The 22,189-nt window shown below is 50.4% G+C and overlaps 2 protein-coding genes across 12 annotated transcripts in view, besides 1 other annotated feature; one reads left to right on the top strand and one right to left on the bottom strand.

Moving 5' to 3' along the window:
- CEP63 (centrosomal protein 63) overlaps positions 1-22,189 on the bottom strand; it is a 296,836-nt gene that overhangs the window by 116,249 nt on the left and 158,398 nt on the right. For 3 of the 7 annotated variants that reach the window (XR_002959589.2, XR_007095735.1, XR_007095734.1), the window contains exon 14: positions 107-7,627. The exons of 2 other annotated variants lie outside the window; for them this stretch is intronic. The gene's annotated coding sequence lies outside the window, so the exon portion shown is untranslated. Of the gene's footprint in view, positions 1-99; positions 7,628-22,189 lie in introns of those variants that run through there. 2 more of the 7 variants (XR_007095730.1, XR_007095732.1) reach the window with 2 other exon arrangements.
- KY (kyphoscoliosis peptidase) overlaps positions 15,289-22,189 on the top strand; it is a 51,100-nt gene continuing 44,199 nt past the window's right edge. For 3 of the 5 annotated variants that reach the window (NM_001350859.2, NM_178554.6, NM_001366277.2), the window contains exons 1-2: positions 15,289-15,486; positions 18,814-18,876. In NM_001350859.2, coding sequence (NP_001337788.1) covers positions 15,351-15,486; positions 18,814-18,876 — 199 coding nt within the window. In that variant the 5' untranslated portion in view covers positions 15,289-15,350. The remainder of the gene's footprint in view (positions 15,487-18,813; positions 18,877-22,189) is intronic. The other 2 variants (NM_001366276.1, NM_001350860.2) reach the window with 2 other exon arrangements.
- Positions 21,518-22,182: an enhancer, noted in NCBI's record as "H3K4me1 hESC enhancer chr3:134362971-134363635 (GRCh37/hg19 assembly coordinates)". NCBI's record gives its function as "activates a minimal SCP1, AML or CMV promoter by ChIP-STARR-seq in primed H9 embryonic stem cells {active_cell/tissue: H9 hESC(primed)}" and the evidence as "EXISTENCE:reporter gene assay evidence [ECO:0000049][PMID:30033119]".

Here is a 22,189-nt window from a genome sequence, read left to right as displayed (position 1 = left end):
TTGCACATGCCCCGCAGGTGAGTCTGCTGACTACTAAGGTCTGAAAACCACTGTCAGGACCCTGGGCCCAGAGGCTGTGATCCCGTGTGGCTTCTTCCTTCTGAACGTGCTGAGGCTGGAAGGGATTTGGCTCATGAGGGTCCTCCTTCCATCAGAGAGCTTGCCCAGGACTTTGTCTCTCTACCCTCACTTTGATGCCAGCCAGCGCACAAGCACCCTCTCAATCTGTCTCAGGGAATTTCCTTGTCTCTCTGTCTCTCTCTCATCTCTCCCTGTCTCACTCTCTCTGTCTCTTGATCCCTTTGGTTCCCTTCATTCTGTTTCTGTTGTTCTCTCTGTCTTTCTTTGTCTCTCTCTGACTTTCCTGTCCTTCTGTTTCTTTCCCTATGTCTCGGTCTCTGTCTCTTTCTGCCCCTCGACTTCTCTCATCCTCATTCTTAGTGTCTTTGTTCCCTTCCTCTGGCTATCTTTCCTCCATATTTGTCTCTCTGCCTTTCTGCTGTTCTTTCTTCCTCTGTCTGTCCCTATGTCTCTGTGTCTGTTTGTCTGTCTCTCAATGTCTCTGTCTGTCTCGCTCTGTCCCTGTCTCTCTCTCTCTCTCTCTCTCTGTGTGTGTGTGTGTGTGTGTGTGTGTGTGTGTGTGTGTGTGTGTGTGTGTCCTCTGTTTCCCCTCTCTCTCTTCCCCTGTCTTCACCCTTCCTGGAGGACTCCGGGCTGGCGGCCGGGAACAGATGGCTGTCAGGCCTTGGCCAGAGGCCCCTTTTCATCACGGAGGCCCCTCCCTCAGTGGTGGCTTTTCAGCGACCACCTGGGGAGTGCAAACTGTACTGTCACAAACAGGTTGCTGTCACCACTGTGATCCAGGTCCAAGCCCAGCCCTGGGCCCGCCTGCCTTGGGTAACCTTGAAACAGGCCAGGCTCCCACCTTGCTTGTGCAACAGCCACTCCAGGGGCCAGAAGCCTGGCCTCAGGGAACTGGATGGGGTGGGAGGAGCCTTGCATGCAGTAGCCTTTCCCCAGATCCAGGGGCAGCACCAGGAGGTAGGAGTCCCCCATGGACACCAGGCCAGCCCTGACCTTTCTCACTGAGAGGAAGTGGTCACAGCAGTGTAGATGCCCTGGACCCATTCCCCCAGCCCAATCCCCTTCATATCAGGAGATGGGGAGAAGAAGCCAGTCTGGAGTGCCCTGAAGCCCCTGCCGGACTTCTCCCAGACCTACAGGGTGGGACCAGAAGTGGCCTTGTGCACCTGACCTGAGGGTGGCTCTGCCCACCTCAGTCTACAGAGCATGCGAGTGTCTGCTGAGAAGCCAGAGCTCCCTCCCCTGCCCCTGTTGCTCCCACCATTTCCTTCTCTTCTTCCTGGGTCAGACTCCAAAGCAACCTGAGAAAAATATCTTCACTGGGGGATAGGGGAAACAGATGTCAAGGAACCCTTTATTTACTGCAGGCCATGCAGCAAGCCAGTGCTGAATTCAGAGCAGCAGCTTCAGGCAGGAATCAATATACCCATTACTCAGATGAGAAAACCAGGGCCCAAAAAAATGAAAAGACTCTTCCAACATTCCATGGTACTAGTAGGGTAGCTAAAGTTCGAATGGCTTGTTTACACACACAAACACACACACACACACACACAAAACTGCTTAAAGAAACACCTGTCATGTGCCAGGAGGTAGGCTGTTCTAGGAAAACGCAAACAAATGGCCCCATCCTTGCCATAGAGAGCCACCCCACACAAACACCTGTGCGCACATCACCACCCTGATGTATCTGAGATCCCAGAGTGAGGTACATGCACAGAGGGCTGTCTCTGTCCTTGCTCTTCCCATCCCAAATGCCAGAGAAGCCCCGAGTGTGAGGTCAGCCACAGGGCTGCATGTCTGCGCTTGTGTCCTAGGTTCAGGTTTGGGCTGGTGCTGCTTGTGAGCAGTCACTACTGTGTGCCTGGCTGTGTGCTGAGGGCACACTCTGCATTGCCTCATTTTGCCTTCCACCTTGGACAGAGGGTGTGATTGCTGCTGGGTTACAGATAAGGAGGCTGAAGCTGTGACTCACTTGGGAATGCTGGGACTTCAACTCCCTGGTTCCTAGACGGCCTTTTTAGGATGAAAATAAAAATACCCAGTAGGGGCTCTCCAAGACACAGGGAAGCAAAGAGCAGGCGGTAAATTGAATCAGCCTAACAGGTGTCCAGATGCCGGAGGAGGCCAGAGCAGCCCCTAGGTGCAGGCTCCAGAGGGAAGGCCCGAGTCTTGTGGTTCCCACACACCCCACAGTCCGCCCACCCCTGCAGCAGCCCAGCAGCAGCTAGGCCTAGAAGCTCTCCCCAAGCCCTGCTCTTCCCTGTCCCCACCCCATCCTACCCTCCCTTCTGGCTGTAGGGAGGACAGGATGGCAGGATGCAGTGGGAGAAGGCCTGGCTCAGATTTCCCTCCTCTCTTCCTGGCAGGGATTACATGGTGAGCAAGGAGGACAGCTGAGCTGGCCAGTGGGCAGCCCCGCCATGCCAAGAGGAAAGCTGGAGAGGAAGGACAGCTGAGGTAACTCAGGCCTGGTGCAGCCACTCTCCCCATCCCCATATCCCTCCTTCCTGGCCCCTCTGGGGCCCCGCATGCCAGGGAATGATCCACTGGACCCAGCACCAGGACTTGAGAACCTGCACTCCCTTTCCCCCAAATGCTGCTCTCTGGAATTGGCAAAGACAAAGCCAAGTAGGTTTCTGAGCAGACGGACAGACTGACTTCAGAGAATAGAAGGCCCCCGGGGTTTGTGGGCAGCAGCAGGGCTCACGTGAATGAGAGCTCTATGATTCTAGAATATCTAATTAACACTGACACTCTCCCCCAGCCTCTGCCTTATCCTTACTCCACAGGCTCTGCAGCAGTGAGAAGGCATCTGTCTAGTGATCTGCTGATCTGCCTCACCCCAACCAAGCCCTTCACCCTGGGATGTTACTAGAGCTCTTGGTTACTTGAGCCACCTACCTAAACATTTGTGAATACTTCAGCCATGGGACAGCGACTGTCAATCAATAGTCCTCAGAGACTCATCAGAACAGTCAGGGGACAGTTTGGTGGTACCAAGCAATGAGCACGGGGTGGACCTAGAAAGTGCCAGGAATGATGTACCCGCAGAAAACTGTGCACATCCTGGGTGCCAGAGGGGCCTGTATCTGGGGCACATGGAGCCCTGGCTGAAGCATTAGCAGTGAGAGGCAAAGCTGACCTCTCCTCTCTGGGGTTCTGCTCTACCTCCATCCCCATCCCCAAGAGGAGATCCTGGATCAGAAAAGCGAAGCTGGACATTAAACTGGCTGTGTGAATGCCCACAGATCTGGACTGAGGGTACCTGGCAAATTCTGGCCAGAGAGCCCAGGGTCAGGAATCCTCCAGTAGGACCCTGGATCTGATACAGCTGCCAAGGGATGGTTTAGTTCCCTGTCAAACAGGCACAACCTGGCATCAGACTCCAATAGCTGTGCATGCCCACCACCTCCTTCTCACTGAGTGATAGACTTTGTGGTTGCTATCCACGTACACCTTCAGGCAGCACAGCCCAGACGCTATCTGTCAAGTGGCATGCTTTTCAATTGTCCTAGACATGTTTGCTTCAAACTCCACTCTGATGCTCTGTATTAGCAAACATATTTGAACTAGCCCTGTTCTTTGTGTTTTATTCATGCTGAATAGCTGCCTTCTCGGAGCCCAGTTCCTCATCTCTAAAATGCAGGCAACTAACCACCTCAAAAGGTTGTTGGGATGATTAAGATTGTGAAGGCATCTAGCATAGGGCCCAGCATAGAGTGGGCATCCAATACATATTTTTTCTTCCTTCTTTACCACTGTCTTAGTTCATTTGGGCTGCTATTACAAAATACCATTAACTGGGTGGCTTATAGACAACAGAAATTTATTTCTTACAGCTCTAGACAATGGGAAATCCAAGATGAAGGTGGCAGCAAATTCTGTGTTTGTTGAGAGCACACTTCCTGGTTCAAAGACAGCACCTTCTTTTTTTTTTTTTCTTTTTTGAGATGAAGTCTCACTCTGTCTCCCAGGCTAGAGAGCAATGGCGTGATCTTGGCTCACTGCAAGCTCTGCCTCCTGAGTTCAAGCAATTCTCCTACCTCAGCCTCCTGGGTAGCTGGGATTACCAGCATGCATCACCACACCCAGCTAATTTTTGTATTTGTAGTAGAGACAGGGTTTCACCCTGTTGGCCCAGCTGGTCTCGAACTCCTGACCTCAGGTGATCTACCCACCTCGGCCTCCGCAGTGCTGGGATTACAGGCATGAGCCACCATGCCCAGCCGGCACCTTCTTGCTATGTTCTCACATGGCGGAAGGATCAAAGAAGGTTTTTCGAACTGCTTTTACAAGGGCACTAATTCTATCTGTGAGGGATCCAGCCTTATGACTTAATCACTTCCCAAAGCCTCCACCTCTTGATATTATCACCTTAGAAGTTAGGATCTCAACATATGAATTTGAGGGGGGGGGCACAAATATTCATCCCATAGCACCTTCTTTCCCTACTCCTTCCTTCCTTCCCCTCTTCCTTCCTGCCTCCTGCCTTCCAGCCTTCCAGCCTTCCTGTCTTCCTTCCCTTTTTCCCCTTTATCCTCTTTCTCTCTCTTTTCATAATATCTTCCCAGAAAGGAGAGTGCCAAGCATTTCAATTGCTCGTCATTCAGCTCTGTCTCTTCCCCTTCATCCAGATTCTTTGTGTTTCTTCTCTTGGGACCCTCTTCAATTCCATTGTTATCTTCATAAGTGGATCTACACACTATCTTCTAGGTCAACTACATGAGAGAGATTCGTTCATCTGTGTGTCCCCACAACATCAGACACAGTCCTAGAACATAGTGTTGATTACAGATGGAATGAAGGAATCGTAATTGGATGGGAATGGGGGAGGGGGGTAACTGAATGAATAAAGAATGGGTGAATGGACAAAGCATATTAGGCGGAAGGAACAGAAAGGTGGGGTTGGCTGATGGTTTGCACAGTGGTGTCTAGGTTTCAATGGAAGGAATAGCTAAGTGGGATGGATCGGATAGATGGAGTGGATGGATGGATATGAAAGAGCATGGTGCTCAAGTATGCGGTGGAGTGGAGGGATAAATAGATGGACAGAAGCACATATGCCATGGCTGGCTTTGGGCTGGGCAGGAAGGCTGCAAGAAACTCACTAAAATGTTTTCACTCCCAAATCACAATTTTCATTCTCTCTCCCATTGCTCTCAAACCATAAAGATGGGGGTGGTGAGGAAGTGGGTAGCTGACAACAGCCAGTCCCGTGTGCTACCTGCATTCCAGCCTTGCCCATATCCTCACTAAGGGACTCCTGCCACAGACTCCAAGCATCACAATGCTTAGAGCCGCAGGGCCCAGAAAGGGGCTGAGGACTTACTTGCCCCTTCCTAGCCCACTCTCCAGTCTCAACCTCAGAAGAGGCCATACAGAAGGAAAATGGACTGTACTAGTGGAGACCTGACTGTCCTCACACTCAACACCAAAGATTGGAAATCTGCCAATTTCACTTCCCAGTCTGCTTTGCCCACAGGACAAGCTTGCACACTCACTGCACCAAAGTCCAGCTGGGAGTTGATGCTATGTTGCCCTCACTAAATCGAGAGCTCCTTGAGAGCAGGAATTGTATCATCCTCACTGCCCCATTCCAGTGATAAAGTTCCTGATACAGAGTTGGCATAGAAAAAAAAGATGTTTGTGAGTTAAGTAAAATGAACAATGGGTCTTACACACAACTGCCTATCCTTGGGGGCAAATAATGATAGACCTTGGTCTAGGACACTGAGTGTGAATCCTAGCTCTGCCACTTCTGAACTACGTGACCTTACCAAGTCCCACACCTCCCTGAGCCTCTATTTCCTCATCTATGAACTCAGGATAATAGTTGATACCACTCAACTATCCCCTGTGGCTTTGCATATCATATTAGGAACCAGTTTCTAATTTAGTCCTTTTCAAAGCCCCCACACCACCCCAGGAGCCTTGACAGCCAAGCCCCAAAGCCGCTCATCCCTCCATCGCAACCTCCTTGCCCGGAGGGCAGAGCAGAGCCCTGTGGGGAGGGGACCGGCAGGCCACAGGAATTGAACATGCCCCACTTTCAGGCTTCTGCCACTGGGCCTGTGCATAATCACCCTGACCTCAATATTTCTCTGTGAATTATGGAAAGAGAGTTCTCTGAAAATGAGACGTGTGAAAAGTTCCACCAGGCTCCCCCTCATCCCCTCATTTCATCCTTTCCAACTTAATAAGGACCGCGGCTTATTAGCTGTTCCTGTCCAGCTCGCCTTGTCCTGTGCCTGCACACGTGAGACTAAAAATACCCGTGGCTCCTATTAGAAGCTCTGCCCCGGGGACAGGCAAGGCTGGAGTCTGCACTGACACTGAAAAATCTCCCGCATGCCCCCTGGGATCCAGGCCACTGGGCAACTCCTGCTTGGGACGATGAACACCAACATCCTCCCGCCAGGCCCCTGGGGGTCGACAGTAATAATCAAAAGGCTGCTCTTAGCTCATTCGTGGTTTTGTTCAGATCCTCCAAAGCCCTTTTCTGTGTTCCTCCTCACCACCTGATCAGACAATCTTGAACCACCAGGAGAGGTCCTCTCTCGGGGCTCCCACCACTAGGAGCACTCACTGCCTAAGCCCTGCGAGTGGCTGGCCCACATTTCAGCCTGCTCCTGGAAAAATGCCTTTTCACTGAAACGTGCAGAATGGCAAGCACATTAGGCTTGAGGGGAGGACTGGGCCCATCCAGAAGCTACTGGGGAACTGTGTGCACCGATTTCTCAATCCTTTCTTTCTCTGTCAGTAAAATGGGTTTAAAGGCATCAGCCCACCTTTGGGCTATTGTGAAGACTATGTGAGTTCATGGAAATGGAAATGCAGAATTCTGCACAGAAGGAGGTGACTGGTATGGAGCAGACACTGAAGCCTCACCTGCAGAGGACACCTTGTTTACGTCAGAGAGAGGGGCGGATCGAGGAATATGCAAGGGGCATTTCAATAGCTGGGTAATCAACACTTGGCTAGGTTAAAGAGGTAATCTCTCCATGCGCTCTCATGTGCCACTGGATACCTCTCTTGGCATTGCCCAGGATATTTTGGAAGTGGTGGTGAAAGACAGATTGATCTTCATCATCTCCCTCCCCAGCAAAGGGCCAAGAATGCCATGGAGTGTAAAGACTCCAAAATTCAAAGTACCCGAAATTTGGAAAGCAGTGCTTCCCACACTTGCACATTATTATATGCAAGAAGATGAGATTTTAATGAGCTCTGGACAGAAAAATATGGAAAATCAATTAAGGTGTCATGAACAGAAATACTTTGAGAAAGGGAGTGGCTGACAAACTGATCAGGAAGAGACATACCAGAAAGGTTAAGAATGAAAATTGCTCTTAACAGCATGAATCGTGGCTTATGACTCTGATCGGAGCAGGGAGCAGGGCTGGTGTCTGCATGGGACTGAGCAGCGCTGTCTCAGAACCAAGCTCTCCCCAAATTCATGCTCCAGATGGTTCTGTCAATGTGGAGGATGGTGCCTTCAGAGCTTCTTGTCCTCGTTTAACCTTCTTCTTCGTTCCCTGTAGGTCTGTGAGACAGACACAGAAGAGCAAATGCTACACATCTCTGGAAAGCTCAGTTCTACCTCCAGGCTAAAGGAAGAAGTCTCAGCTTGCTGGCAGCATTAATTCTGTCCAATTTGATTCAAACATTTGTTGAGCACTTTCTGTGTTCAACAAACATAGGCACAAAGTGTTGGGGGATTCAGGAATGAGTAAGACCATGACCTGGCCCCCTGGCCCTCAAAGAGCTTCAAGTAATCAAAGCTATGACCATGACTCTGCCACAGACTTTGCTACGAAATACAACAGATCTGAGGTAGGTTGGAAGAGTATTTTTTTTCCAACCAATATTTAAATATTTGTGCCACTAAACTAGGAAAAAGGAACTAAGGATATGAATTTTTTAAACACACACATGCACACACAATACACACACACAAGGTAAATTTATGCTTAAAAATTGTTCAATCTCCATGGTAATAAAAATGAAAATTAGAAAGGGTTACCATGTATCAGCCGGGCGCAGTGGCTCATGCCTGTAATCCCAGCACTTTGGGAGGCTGAGGCGGGCAGATCACAAGGTCAGGAGATCGAGACTATCCTGGCTAACACAGTGAAACCCCGTCTCTACTAAAAATACAAAAAATTAGCCGGGCGTGGTGGCACACACCTGTAGCCCCAGCTACTCCGGAGGCTGAGTCAGGAAAATCGCTTGAACCTGGGAGGCAGAGGTTGCAGTGAGCCAAGATCGCGCCACTGCACTCCAGCCTGGGTGACAGAACGAGACTTCATCTCAAAAAAATAAATAAATAAAATAAAAAGAAAAGGTTACCATATATCAATTATCATAATGGCAAAGGTTGATGTACCAATAGTTTTCAATGCTTGTGATAGTGTATGGAGAGGTTGACATACACAGCTAATGAGTGTAAATAGGCACAGTCTTTCTGGAAGGCAATTTGACATTTCATATATATATATCTCAATGTTTAAAATAGTCATAGTCTTTGACTCAGTAATTCCACTTCCAAGAATCTATTCTAAGGAAATAACCAGAAATGTAGTCAAAGATATTTATTATCACATTATTTATAAAAGTAGACAATGCAAAACAAACTAAAAGTCCAACAATGAGAAAATAGAAAAATGGATTGTGGCACGTCAGTATAAAAAGTGACTAAGCAATCTTTTAAATTAGCTTTTGAAGAGTTTTTAGTAAACTATTCATTACAGGTTGAGTGAAAAAAAATCATGATACCAAACTATATATGGTGCAATACCAATTATACTTTTTAAATAAAAATATTCATTTTTATTTCACACCTATTGATATGGTTTGGCTGTGTCTCCGCCAAAATCTCAAGTTGAATTGTATCTCCCAGAATTCCTGTGTGTTGTGGGAGGGACCCAGAGGAAGGCAATTGAATCATGGGGGCCAGTCTTTCCCATACTGTTCTCCTGATAGTGAATAAGTCTCACAAGATCTGATGAGTTTATCAGGGGTTTCCGCTTTTGCTTCTTCCTCATTGCCTTTCGCTGCCGCCATGTAAGAGTCTTTTGCCTCCCATCATGATTCTGAGGGCTCCCCAACTACATAGAACTGTAAGTCCAATTAAACCTCTTTTTCTTCCCAGTTTCAGGTATGTCTTTGTCAGCAGCATAAAAACAGACTAACACACCTATATATAATAAATGTTCACTTATTATACTCTATGTTGTAGTCATAATGAAAGGAAATACTAAATAACAAAATGTTTAGAAGTGATTATCTCTAGATGGTGGGATGACGGGATTTAGGTGGCTTTATTTTCTTCTTTATATAGTTCTTGCACTTTCTAAATTGTTAGTAATGAGCCTGAATTTGACAGAGCATCTTGTCTCCTGATGGGACTTTATGACCCAGCTCACCCAGATGGGTCGCCTGAGTCTGACAACTGAGCTGGGGCGTGGCCCTTCAGCTTAGGTGGAGGCTCTGTGTCTCCCCTGCCTGTCCTCTCCATCTGAGCCCAGTTCCCCACTTCACCCAGGCACTCTGCCCCACACTACCCCAAAATATCCTCCTTTTCTTACACAGCATCTGTATGTGGTGCTTGACTGTCTCTTCCTATCATCACCACCCTTGCCTAGCATCTTCTCCAGAAGGCCAGTTTCGGGTGACAGTGGTTTTGATCATGTCTAAGGCAACCGTGGGACCTGCACCCTCACACTTGTGAACAGTCCCTGCTCTTCCATCCCTGCTGACCAGGATCAGCATCGCCACTCAGATGGGCAGCTGAAGCTTCACCCACAGCAGACTGGCTTTGGCTGCTCTTCTGCTCCTCTCAGTGCTCTTCCCCTGCACCATAGCACCAACCAGACTGGCCTGCTTTCACTTCCTGAGACACGCGTTTTTCTCTTTCACCTCCATCACTCCTTCCAGCTCCTCCTATTTCCTGCTCAGGCTCCTTCTTGCCTGGAAAGCCTGTCCCTCTCTCCTACTCATTCATCCCTGAGGACACTGTTTGGGGATGTAGCCTTCCTGGCCCCTCCTCTCTGGGAGGACAGATGCCTCTCCCCTGTCCTTACTCTTTCATTTCATCCTATGGCATTGCACATAGTGAGGTCTCAAGAACAAGCCGTCATCTGTGCTGGGAAACGTCTTCATGGCAAACCTAGCAGAGGTGGAAAGCTCTCTTTACAGTGTAACCATCCTCACCCCAGAATGGTATGGAACTATCACAACACACTTCCTCTCCATCCCTGGCAGGGCTACTGCTCCTGAAGACTGCTGAATGCTCCCAGCCACCAACTTTTTACTACTGCCACTGCCACCAGTTCTCTCTCCACCCAAAACAACTGATGCCACAGAGCCTGTAAAATCTGTCCCCAAAGGCCCAGCTCAGGGCTTGAGCTCAAAGAATTTTTCCAAGAACCTCAACAGAGGTCTTGAAACCCCGAGTCAAGGTGTGTTCATCGTGATTGTTAAGACCATCTTCCCCATAGGCTGACAGCTGATCTTTTCCTTGGCTCGGGCACTATGCAGCCTCAGCTCATGGGCATGTTATGGCCATATAGGGTAGGGGGGCAGGTGTTGTTCAGCACATGAGCTTTGGAGCATACAGAGTTGGGTGGGGTGTCAAGGGTTGGGTGTCCCCTGCTACCTGTAAGACACATGTGAGACCTTGGGTAGGTCACATTAGGTTTCTAAACCTCTGTTTTCTCATCTATAAAATGGAGATAATGCAAAGGTTTATCCTACTGAATGCACACAGAGAGTTCACAAGTGCCATCAGGGTGGGAAGGAAGCAGAACTGTGCTGTGCCGTAACTCCTGCCAAACAGGCTGCAGCCGCACAGATCTGACATCAGTTCTTCAAGGAATGGATTCTGTGGCTCACTGAGGTTTTCTGTGTTTGAGAACAGTGGCCACAGAGCAGTGATATGAGAAGGAAGGCAACACGGAGGTCAGAGATGGCTCTGGTTCCTTCTATACTCCATCTCCAACTGTGAAACCACATCCATGAGACCTTCCCCAGAGCAGGACCCAGCAGGGGGTCTGGCTGGAATACAGGAAGTTGCCATAGCTATAACTACCCATAGCTAAGTACTTTATCTCATTTAATCCCAGCAACACCCTCACCCACTTGACAGATGAGGAAAACTGAGGCTCGGAGAGGTTAAGTACATTGTTCACTATCACCCTACTGGGAGACAGTGTCTGGAAACAGGTTTGCCTGGCATAACTGCTCCAGAGGGGATTGATATGATTTCCAAATTTGGTGGGTGTGGGACAAGAGCAGGGGTGAGCTTCCAAATTAACTATTGGGATTGTAAAAAGAGGCACCACAGAGAACTGGCATTCCCCAGAAGCTCCAAGGACTGGGGTACCCAGGAAGGCTTCAAAGTAGAGGGGAGGGAATGGCTCCAGTTCCTTCTATACCCGCCCTCCAACTGTGAAACCACATTCATGAGACCCTCCCCACAGGGTCTTGAAGGATGCTTAAACTGTACTTGCCAGGGAAGTCCAAAGGGGTTTTCCAGGCAGAAATCATAGCAATAGCAAAGGCTCAGAAGCAGAATCAAGCTAAGCCAGGCCAGTCAAGAGGCCATGGGAAGCCTACACTGGCTGAGGAAAGGTTTCTGGGAAAGGTATCCAGTATCCCATGTAAGGATTCACTCATCTCAGGGTAGGCTGAGGGAGTTAGGAGACTGGAACTTGGTCTGTTACTCTTCACCAACTCACAGAACTCTCTGTGTGCCTCTTCCCCACGTCATCAATGGAGAAAATTCCCTGCCAAAAGCCTTTATTGCATTGGCTTACTTACTCTATCTCTATAGAGAAGAGAGAAACTTGCCTCTTGGAATCCCAAGAGTGGTAAAAACAGCTATGACTGATGGTCCCAGCAAAACTACCATTTCTGAGGGAAAACAGTGGGGGTCAAAACACACTCCTCTCTGGTGACAGCTTCAACTGCCAGGAGCAAGCCCTGCCCCTGGTGAACCCTCCTTATCTCCAAGACAGCAGAACCAACTCAGGGCCCAGAACCATTCAGACAACTGACAAATCTCACCTTCTAGCAGAGGAGTATCGGATGCAGGGCTGCTGACAGCTGGATGTGTCTAAGTGTTGAATTTGACAAAGGTGACAATACAACTATTTTGACTGTCCTTTGTCTTTCTGTATCCTGGAATTCCCACTCATTTTGATTAAAATAAAGTTTTGCTCAAGAATGGAGAAAGCCCCTGGTTTGTCAGCTACTAAGACAAGGATGCAGATTAATTATTTAGGTCGGAATACAGAGAGCCTTGCATCTTTTTTATTCAAGATGGTAGCAGGATGGAGGGGCTAGTATGGTGTGTTTGGGGTGTAGAGGACATGGTTTCTGTTGAAGCATGTGTGGGTTTGGTAGGGAAAAAGGAAGAGATGGGTCTGGAGATTTGCAGGCTGAGCGTTCTGTTATTTGTCCCGTTGATTGTGTGAGCAGCTGGAGGGAGGATTTGAGCAGAAGGGATACAGCCTCTACTTGAATGATATCCCAGCCACCTCAGTGTTCTCTTGTCTCTCCTTCCCCTTTCCTGATACATCCAAATGCCTTCAGCCACATCACCTTCCCCATGGTGTCTCCCTCTCAGCCCAAGAATGGATAGTGGGGAAGAGGGGAAGCAGCTAAGTCAACCCAGGCCAAGGATGGGAATAGAGTTGGCATTAAGAAGAGCATCTCATCTATGCTCCTGGCAGGCCCCAGAAGCTAGGCTGTTGGACTGATGGCCATGGGTAAACCTCTGAGAAGAGGGTCTAGGTGTCAGGCACCATCAGGATCCAGGGGCAGCAGCATCTCCCAGAGCAGTCGAGGTGACTCCAATTTCAGGAGTTTGCTCCAAAGCGGTGTTCACACTGCAATTCTTTCCAAAGGAAACATTGGTCAATGTCTGGAGACATTCTAAGTTCTCACAATAGGGAAGTGAATGTGATTGGCATCTAATGCGTAGAGGCCAGGGATGCTGCTAGACATCCCACAGTGTACAGGAAAGCCCCACCAAAGAGAATTATCTGGCTCAAAATGTCAATAGCGCCAAGGATGAGAGGCCCTGCTCCGAAGCTGTCTTCAGACATAGCAGAGAGACAGGAGGCCTCCACACCATTTCCCCAGACCCCTGGCAGCACATTCCCAGGTCAGAATATCCTTCTCCAGAGGCAGTTCTGGGAGGGGGCACCAGAGTTTGCGAGTTCCTAGCAATGACACTTTCCAGCAGGAGAGCAAGGGTTGGGAGATGGGAATGCAAGTGTAAGGAAAGGGGACTTCAGCTCCCCCCACCATCACCAACACTCAGACCCATCCGGCAACCAAGGGTGCTGTACACAGGCTTCTAGTTGATTTCAGCACTTCAGACAACCTGACACTTGAAGGAGTTAGACAACACTGACTGGCCCAGGGTAGTTGGGGGGACTCTGGGACCTGAGATCTGCCTCAGCAATCTCCAACACCCCAAGAGCTTTGCATAATGCATAGTTCTTACTTCCCCAGCCACATAGAGAGTAAGTGTTAGCCAGCCTCCCAGGTGTGCGCGCGCGCGTGTGTGTGTGTGTGTGTGTACCTGCACACATACAGACAGGACAAGACTCACTTTAGCAGAAGGAAACCTGCCTTGGAAGTCAGCCATCTCCACTTGCCTGTCTATGGCCTCAGCTCTCTAGGGACTCCAGTTCAACATTACTGGAAGCCAACAACCTCTCCTTCCATCAGATGCCCAGTGGGTGAGTCAGGGGGTGGGGTGGTGGGGGGGGGCGCTGGTAATGCAATAAGACAACAGCCTTTACACGGAACCAAACTCTGAGCCACTGTTATTGGAGGAAGACCTTCAGAATCTCAGAGTGTGGCTGTGACATCTCTCCTGCTTCTCTGCTCCATCAGTCACTTGTCACTCCATCTTTCCCTTTCCTCACCCTTAAAATGAAGTAAGAATGACAGCTACCATATGAAGACCACTTTCTATACACCAGGCGCCTTACATTCATGCCATTCTCACAACAGCCATGTGAGAAATTTTTATCAACCCAGTGATAAGGGTGAGAAGGTGGAGGGAAAATGGCTGGTCCAAGGTCACACAGCCAGGAAGTGATGGAGCTGGTACTGGAATGCAGTCTGTGTGACACAGGCTGCTCCAAGGAGGATCTGGGAACTCTCAGGACCATGCTACAAGGTGGGGTCCATACACTCCAATGCGGGGAGGGCTCCCAGAGCAAAGGCCTCCATGTGGGGGTGCATTTATTAACAGTAGAAACTCGAATTAGGGGAACGCCCCCAGCAGGGTGGGCCCGTAGTGCCCAGGGGTACCAGGCAGAAGCCTATGTAAACACTCCTGAGACCTACAGCCAAACCCCTGCTGCTGTTGGCTGGGCAGGCCAGGCCGGGCTAAAAATAGAAGGCTTCTCAGGTCCAGCTCCCTGTGCCCCAGCCTCCTCCTCTCCCCCTCCCTCCTTCCCCACAGGGCAGGAGCCAGGCTTCTAGAACGAACCGAGACTTTAAGACTTTCGTTTCAGATCAAAGAGGATCGTTAGCTTGATACTCAATGGGCATGTTCCAAGTTCTACAGGGGCCGTAACTGGGGGGAGCTCCTGACTCCAACACCCCACCCAACTCCCTCCTAGGGAGAGAGAGCTGTCAACCTCCAAAACCAACCCAGGGAAGGAGTGAGGTCGAGGCCAAAACTTGGACAATCTCTGCACATCTTGCAATTCAATCTGGAGCCCCTTTGCTGTCTTTCCTTTTCCTGAATCTACTCTCAATGTTGACAGCACTGTGCGATTTCTGTATTTGCCAGGGGCTTCTCGTGGGAGGTCGGCTCCAGCCCTCTCGAGAACCCTCCGGAGACCGTGGGGATGAGGCAGCGCTCAGCCAGAGAAGCCCTGGAGCCCAGGACCAGCGCTTCAAGTGCACCGGGCGGGAGGCAGGGGCGCAGGGAGGGAGGCTCTGGACCGGCCGCCCCTGCTGACTATGGCCCCGGTGCAGGTCAAGGCTTGGGCCCGGGGATTTCCTTTCAAAGGTGACTTAGAGCCGCTTCATTAGGGTAGCGCCCTCCCAGGCGGGCCCTAATGGCGTGTTTGGCAGAGTCAGCGAAAAGCAGCGCCCTGCGGCTCCAGCGGCGGGGGAGCGCCCTCTTCCGCGCCCTCGCCCTCTCCCGTGTGGGGCAGCTGCGCGCACGGGGCCATTTGCAGCGCAAGCAGCCTAGCGTGCGGCCGCGGCGCCCAGGTCGGAAAGGAGGCGGCATCATGGAGCTGAAGAAGGACATCAACGCTGTATCTATCGACATGCTGCTGATCGTGCACTCGGAGAAGCGGCGCGCCGCACAGGGTACGCTCTCAGACCAGCAGGCGAACCCGAGCTCGCTGCTGCAGCGCGGAGGAGGTAACGCGCGCCCGACCCGGGTCCCCGGGTCCCCCGGCACCTTGGCCTCCTTGCCACAAGGGCCTGCCCGCCGGGGGGCGCCCATTGCTCCCCCGAACGAGGTCAGCGAACCCGACCCTCTCCCCCATGGCTGCCGTCGCTTCCCCGCAGTGGCACCGGCGTCCCGTGGCAACGCGCAGTCCCGTGGCAACGCGCAGCCCCGTGATTGCCCCAGTTTCACTCCCTGTGCAGGCCTGTGGGTGCTTCCGTCACCCCTGGGAGTCTTTTTCCTCCCAGCCACTCCCTAACGGGTGTAGAGCAAGATTGGAAGATACCCTGGAGGAAGGCGGCCAGAGCCTCAGGGCTGACTCATGGGTAGCAGAGGCCTGCTCCCCCCCACAGCACACTGCAGGGCACAGGGGACGCTGGGAAACCTTTGGGCTGAGTCAGACTTTTAGATGGGGAGCTCCCTGTGTGGCCTTGCACAATTTACAGCCTCAGTTTCTCCTTTCTTGAGACTTTCTCCCAGCCTCCTATAGATGGAAGGCATGAAAGGCGTAAAAGGAACGCAGGTTTGGATAGGGTAAGATTTGAAACCTGCTGTCTCCACTTGAACTTATCCATCAATTTTACTTGTCCTACACACTTTCTGGGTAAATTTGTAAGTTGTAGATTGGTAAAATAAAGTGACTGTTTATAGAGTGATTGTGGAAAGCAGGATCCGGGCCTCTCTGTTCTCCAGACGACAGAACACAATGTGAATGGAGTACAGAGGGATGATAATGGAGGTTAAATAAGCCCCTGAAAAGCCAGAGAACCTCAGGGTCCTGGATGGCAAGCTGTCTCCGAGGCTGGTGTGAGGATGCACTAGGCGGACTGCGGGCCAGTTCTTTAGGAGTTAGGCCTGACAGCCCATGCAGGAGAATGACTTCTGCCTCTCTCCTCCCCTCCAGCTCTGGAGCTCCTTGGAATTCCTGCTGCTGCTCTGCCCTTGGTTCTTCTGTCCCCAGAGCCTCTGTGCTCATTGAACATCCACCTTCCACCTGCCTTGCTTAAGTAATGCTGCTGTGGATGGCCTTGCCACTACCAGCCACATAGGCTGGAGCTGCCTCCAGAGCCCTGGGAACCTCTTGGGAAGGCAGGCAGGGGAAAGAAACAGAATCTAGAGGGCTGAGTATGTTGACAGGCGCTCTAGTCTCAGGGCTGATTCCTGACTGAAGCAGGAGTTGTTTGGATTCGTTGGCTCTTTAGTTATCAGACCTACTCTTGGGAGAAGGGGAAATGGCCTGCCCAGGGTATTTGTAGTTAGAAAGTCAACAGAGGGCATCAACTTCTTGATAGAAATGAGACTGCTCTGAATACATGTACCACAGTCCAGAATGCCTTCTCCAGTGTGTGGCGAGGCCTAGTTCCAGGTCAGCCCACGAGTCCCCTACTCCCAATCCTCTCTGATCACATCACTTCTAAAGGCTCTGACACTAGAAAGGGCAAAGAATGCAGAGAAGCCCAGGAAACACCAGGCATCAGGACTGCCCTGAGAGGTGCCCAACACCTAGCACAAACTCGCCATGGCTCCAGACTCATGTATGCACACTAGTGACTATGACAGAGAAAAAAAGACCCCTAATGGCTGGGCCCTTTCTGCTGAACTTTTTCTCCAAATATTTTTCTGATGGCCGTTTCTCACCGATGCTATGAATGACAGTGTAGAGATCTGTGTCACTTATTCACAACCAGAGCAGAGAAGAGGAAAAGTGCATGGCTTTTGATGCCTGGTGGGCAGAGATGATATTCAGGAGACCCCAGGCAAAGCCAGCCTGCAGACCCTTTCCTCGAAAAACAGCCTAAGGGAGGAAAATGCCCAATAAGACCAGCTTGTTCCAAAGCCTCCCATGGGTGCAAGATATAAAACAAACTCTTGCTCACTTCCAGGTATCTCCTCCTTTCTCCTCCACACTCCAGATCCTCCACTGGAGAGTGGATCTTCCTTGGTTATATAAAAGAGGGCCTAGGCTCCATGTCAGAAAAGATCAAAGCTCAATTATTGTTGCAATGCAGAGGATGGAGTAATCCGTAACGAGTGGCCCTTCTGCTGGAAGGGCCTTCTGCTGGAAGTGGCCCTTCTGCTGGAAGAAAAGAGTCAGGGGGACAAGAAGGCAAGGAGAGTGTGGACAGGCTAGGTCACTAGGAATTTGGGCTGCAGAGCCAGCAGATGTTCTCTCCCATTTCTGTAAGGCCCTAGCAGCCTCCCAGTCATTTCCCTAGAACAGTGCTTCTCCAAAACGTGCCTGAAAGCCCTCAACTCCTATCAGAAAGTAGAGTGCATATACTCCTGCAGCAGTAGAGGATATAGCCTATAGCTGCCTGGGGCAAGACCCAATGAGCTTTGAAGTCTTAGGTCTTATCCCAAAAGTCTATGTGGTTTGTGTATTCTACTCCATAGGTGTGTCATGAGGGTTCCAAGTGGTAAGTCACTGGCACTGGCTATGGGGGGCTCTGCAGAAAAGAAGGGTGTTAAGAAGAGAGTGGCGGCCCCTGAGTGGTTGAGAGGGCTGGAGAATAAGACTCAAGGCTGAGCTTCCAGGAACAGTACCGTAAGCAGCACCAACGAGCTGGTCTAGTGAGGAAACCTCCTCGGCCACCAAGGAGCACTGAATACTCCTTCCGCGCCAGGATCTCAATTTTATTGCAGCAGCTCCCGCTGCCAGAACGTATCCCCATGCTGTGCCAGGAACTCGACCTTGCGGCTACCACTTGCAGCCGCAGCCAGAGCGAGAGCTTTCCTTCCCTTCCCTGTTGCATCACCAGGTCCCAAGGCAGAGTGAAACACAGGTACATCAGATTGGCCATGGCTAGGCCATACGTGTTTACCCTCTAGCTGCAAGGGAGGCCAAGAGAACTGGCAACTGTCATTTTCCATTCCCATTGGGATTGACGGTCTTAGCCCACTCCCCCCACTCTATATCAAGACTCTAAAAGTGGGTGATTCACCACATACAGAAATAGGCAGGCAATGTGGATAGCAAATGACTTCTAAAATAATGCTTTCATATGTATGCAGTGGAGAGGTGGAAGTGGAAAATGGGCATCTGTACTACAAAAATTCTCCCTAAATGACCCTGATAACCAACCCTGCTGCCCTTGAAAACTGTTTTAACAGTTTTTAAATGTTTTGAATTTTGAGAGTTGCATTCATTCCCTCAAGGGCATCTTATTCATGGGTAGCCTCTCTCAGATTCCAAGAGAGCCAAGATCCACCTGCTCTACCATAACCTAGATAAGTCTGCAACTGGTACATCACTCTTTTGCCCTGAGTCTCCCACCTCAGAGAAGCTTGTTATTTTGCAGGATTCCAAGGTGTTGGAAATGGAGTCCGAAGATGGCAGAAATTAGAAGGAAATGACTTTCACGGTAAATTCTCTTTTTCCTTTCAACCTATAGGATTTAATACATTGAATAATAACTGGAAGAATTGGGTTTCACTCATTTGAAGACTAGCCCTAGACATCTAACCACTGAACGGAAAGTGGCTGCTCCTGACCCAGCCAGGCCTCTAAGGGCCACTGTGACTGTGGGAAGTGTTCCCTGGAGTCAGGTCCCCTGCTCTCCTGGAGGCTGTGGCTGAAGAGCAGTGCCAGGAACTTGAGCACCCATTTGTTTGCTGGCTGAGCCGTAGGGGAGGACTTAACATCCCTTGGGATGGTGAGGTTTGAGTGTGCTCCTATGAGAGGCAGCCATCTATCTTTTGAAAATGTTTCCCAACAGAGAGGATAGTCGTCTGCCTTGGGACAGTATGACTTGAAGCCTGAGAAGATGCCACTCAAGGGTTCTATAGCTCCCTGCTGGCCTGGGACCCAAAATACAATAAGAAGTCAGCTTCCAAAGCCTCTTTTTTCCAGTGCCAGGCATCTGCCACCCCAGGCCCAGGATCTCTGTGGTAACACTAAGGGGCCAAGTATAATGGGCTTTATTCTATTCCCTTTAGGGTTCATTAGCCCAGCCTCCAGGGACAAACATCAGGGACACTGCACAGTGGGCACGTGAAGGTTCTAATAGAGACCAAACCTCTACTCCCAGAGCCCCAGTAGAGAACTCCATCAGCCCGCAGCTATGTGAGCCCTAGGATCAGATGACTGGCTTATCAAATGCCAGTGTAAAGGAACCACCCTCCATGACACAAATGGGGAAATAGGATTGCAGATGAATAGGACTAAACTGCTATGTTCTACCATCCTTCTGACAATAATGAAAGGGAAAGATGAAGTTCTAAAAGTGAATTCATTCACTCATTCTGTTCACAAATGCCTATAGTGCTTACTTTGTGCCAGGCATGATTCTAAATATTGGAAATGAAACAGGGAAAAAGACAGCCAAGAACACTGCCCTCAGGGGAGCTACATTAAAATGATTGGAATTATAATGCACTGCAGGGGAGTCTCAACACCCTGGAGTTGAAGAGTCTTCCTGTGTCCCCTGCCTTTGGTAAGAGTCCTCAAGACACACTCCCCATCCCCACCCCACCACTGCCAGGGAGCCACCCTGACAGGCATGCATGGGTGCAATGGCTTCCCTGTAATCTTGCTACAGGGGCCATCAGCTGGTAGACATGCCAGCTTTAGCTCTACTGAAGTAGACGCCAAAGCTAACAAAACTCTGCTATGGGTTATTGAGAATTTTAATAAGAATCAGACCCCCAGAGACCTGTTAGCCACAGAAATGGCCATGCAGGGCATGGAAGGTATGCATGCTAAGCCCATGTGTGAGCTGGTGAGTGGGCAAGCAAGCCACAGGTGGAAACAAAGAAGCACAGCATCCTTGTTGGTTGCAGCTGTCTCATACCTTGCCTGAGTTGTCTGACACTCATCTTAGGGCTTCTCAGGCATGTTATTACATCAGGAGAGGATTGAAATACACTGAATTCATTCTATTTTTACCATCTTCCGGGTTTCTGATTTGGGAGAAGTTTAGTGGAAAAATATCACAAAACACAAAGTGACACATTGACTATTACAAGACCATTATAAGACTCTTGTAAAAGACATGAAGTGGGTCTTAGCACTATGTGTCAGCTGATAGAAGATGACTAAAATAGTTCTTGCAAAACCACCATGAGAACTGGAAGTTTCAGGTAAATGCAGGGCTGGACAGAGGCTCCACAGAGGCCCTGAGCCCAGAAAAAATGACGCTTCTACCACTCCATCAACATGTGTAAAGCGAAATTTCATTTATTTTTCAAATGGTACGTTTGCATGCATGCAGAAATTAAAATTAGTTTCTTTCTGTGTTTTCTGATGTCGAGATTCTGAGTGCAGGTATTGAAGCTGACCTTTTCTCATACCTGCCTTACTGGTGCCCAAGGCACCCAGCCCTGGTAACCAGCAGGCCGCCCAGCCCTGGTAACTGGATGGCTTCCATCTTAGAAGGAAGTGGCTGATGGCATGTGCTGGTGGAGTGCACACAGATGCTGCTGAGCATGGGGTGGATCCAGAAGGGCACATTTTCCCCCTCTTGCTACCCCGTGCACTGCTTGGGCTGGAACACTGGCAGGGTGTTGAGACTAGAGAGCTCCAAACTTTTCGAAGCAGCAGGTGTTTGGGCCCAGCCGCCTCCTCACCCTCCTACCCCACCCCAATAGCTTGCCCAGCAACGGGCTTCCCCTGCTGTGATTGGCTACTTTCCTTGGTCCTGGACAAAGTCTGCCTAGTAGCACAGGGACAGACGCCCCACAGCTAAAGGGAAACCAATTGTGCAGCCTTGACTATAAATACCCCACAGCAGCTATGCCAGCCAATCACCCTCCTTGAGGATTCCCTTCCCGGATCTTGTTTCCTCCCTCAGCCAGCCGAGGCACTGCCAGCTGTGCCTGCAGAAGGCGGTCCTGGCCTCCCTTTCCTCGCCTGATCTGGGGCTCCAGCCCCGCATGCCACATCACCCTGTATTGGAATACACAGTGGACCTAGCCCTTGGCTGACTAGTGTGGGGCTCAGGGACCTAGCTGGGCCTGTTCATAGGAGAAGGCTGGAGGAGGCAGGCTTTCCAGGGCAGGACTCTGTCAGGTGGATCACAAATCCAGCCTGGCTCAGTACCTCACCCCCCACCTTGATTGGCTTCTGCATGGGCCCAGGCACGGGAACCACTGAGCGGCTGATCTGCACAAGAAGAATCATCTAAATGCACCTGTTCAGGCCAATGCCCCAGAGGCATACTTGTTTCCAGACTAAGGCACTGGTCCCATTGGTCACTTCCAGTGACAAGCCCACTGCAAGCCAGCAGGAAGCTATAGAGAGAAGATGGCAGGCCAGAGTGGTAGTGGTGGGGGAACCTCCAGCTGCCACCATCCTCCCCTTGCCCAGCCTTCCCCCCACCCCTCTGAAGCAGAGGTTCAAGGGCAGCTTCAGTAACAGCAGGCCACAGCAGCAGCTGTAAAGAAGGGAGGAAAGGTCATGCTTCCCCTGGGAGGGCAAGTAAGCCTGTGAGCTCCCGCTTCTTGGCCTATGGCAGGAACTAGGCATCACTCCATGGCAGCCTGACCCCACTAGGCTCTGAGGACAACTCTGTGTCCCAGGGACAGAAATATCCCTGCATGTGGAGAGAACGTGTGTAGCGTGCATGCCCTGCAAATGTTTGTGAAACAGAACCAAACTACACATCATCCCGTCTCCTAGGCTGGGGTAGGAGGCAGGCTGGCCCCCTGTTCTTCTCATTAAGAAGCAGGAGGCTCGGC

The sequence above is a fragment of the Homo sapiens genome, chromosome 3, assembly GCF_000001405.40.
Source record: "Homo sapiens chromosome 3, GRCh38.p14 Primary Assembly".
Classification (NCBI taxonomy): Eukaryota; Metazoa; Chordata; class Mammalia; order Primates; family Hominidae; genus Homo; species Homo sapiens.
Note: the sequence above shows the minus strand (reverse complement) of the source record. Positions and strands in the feature narration are given on the sequence as shown.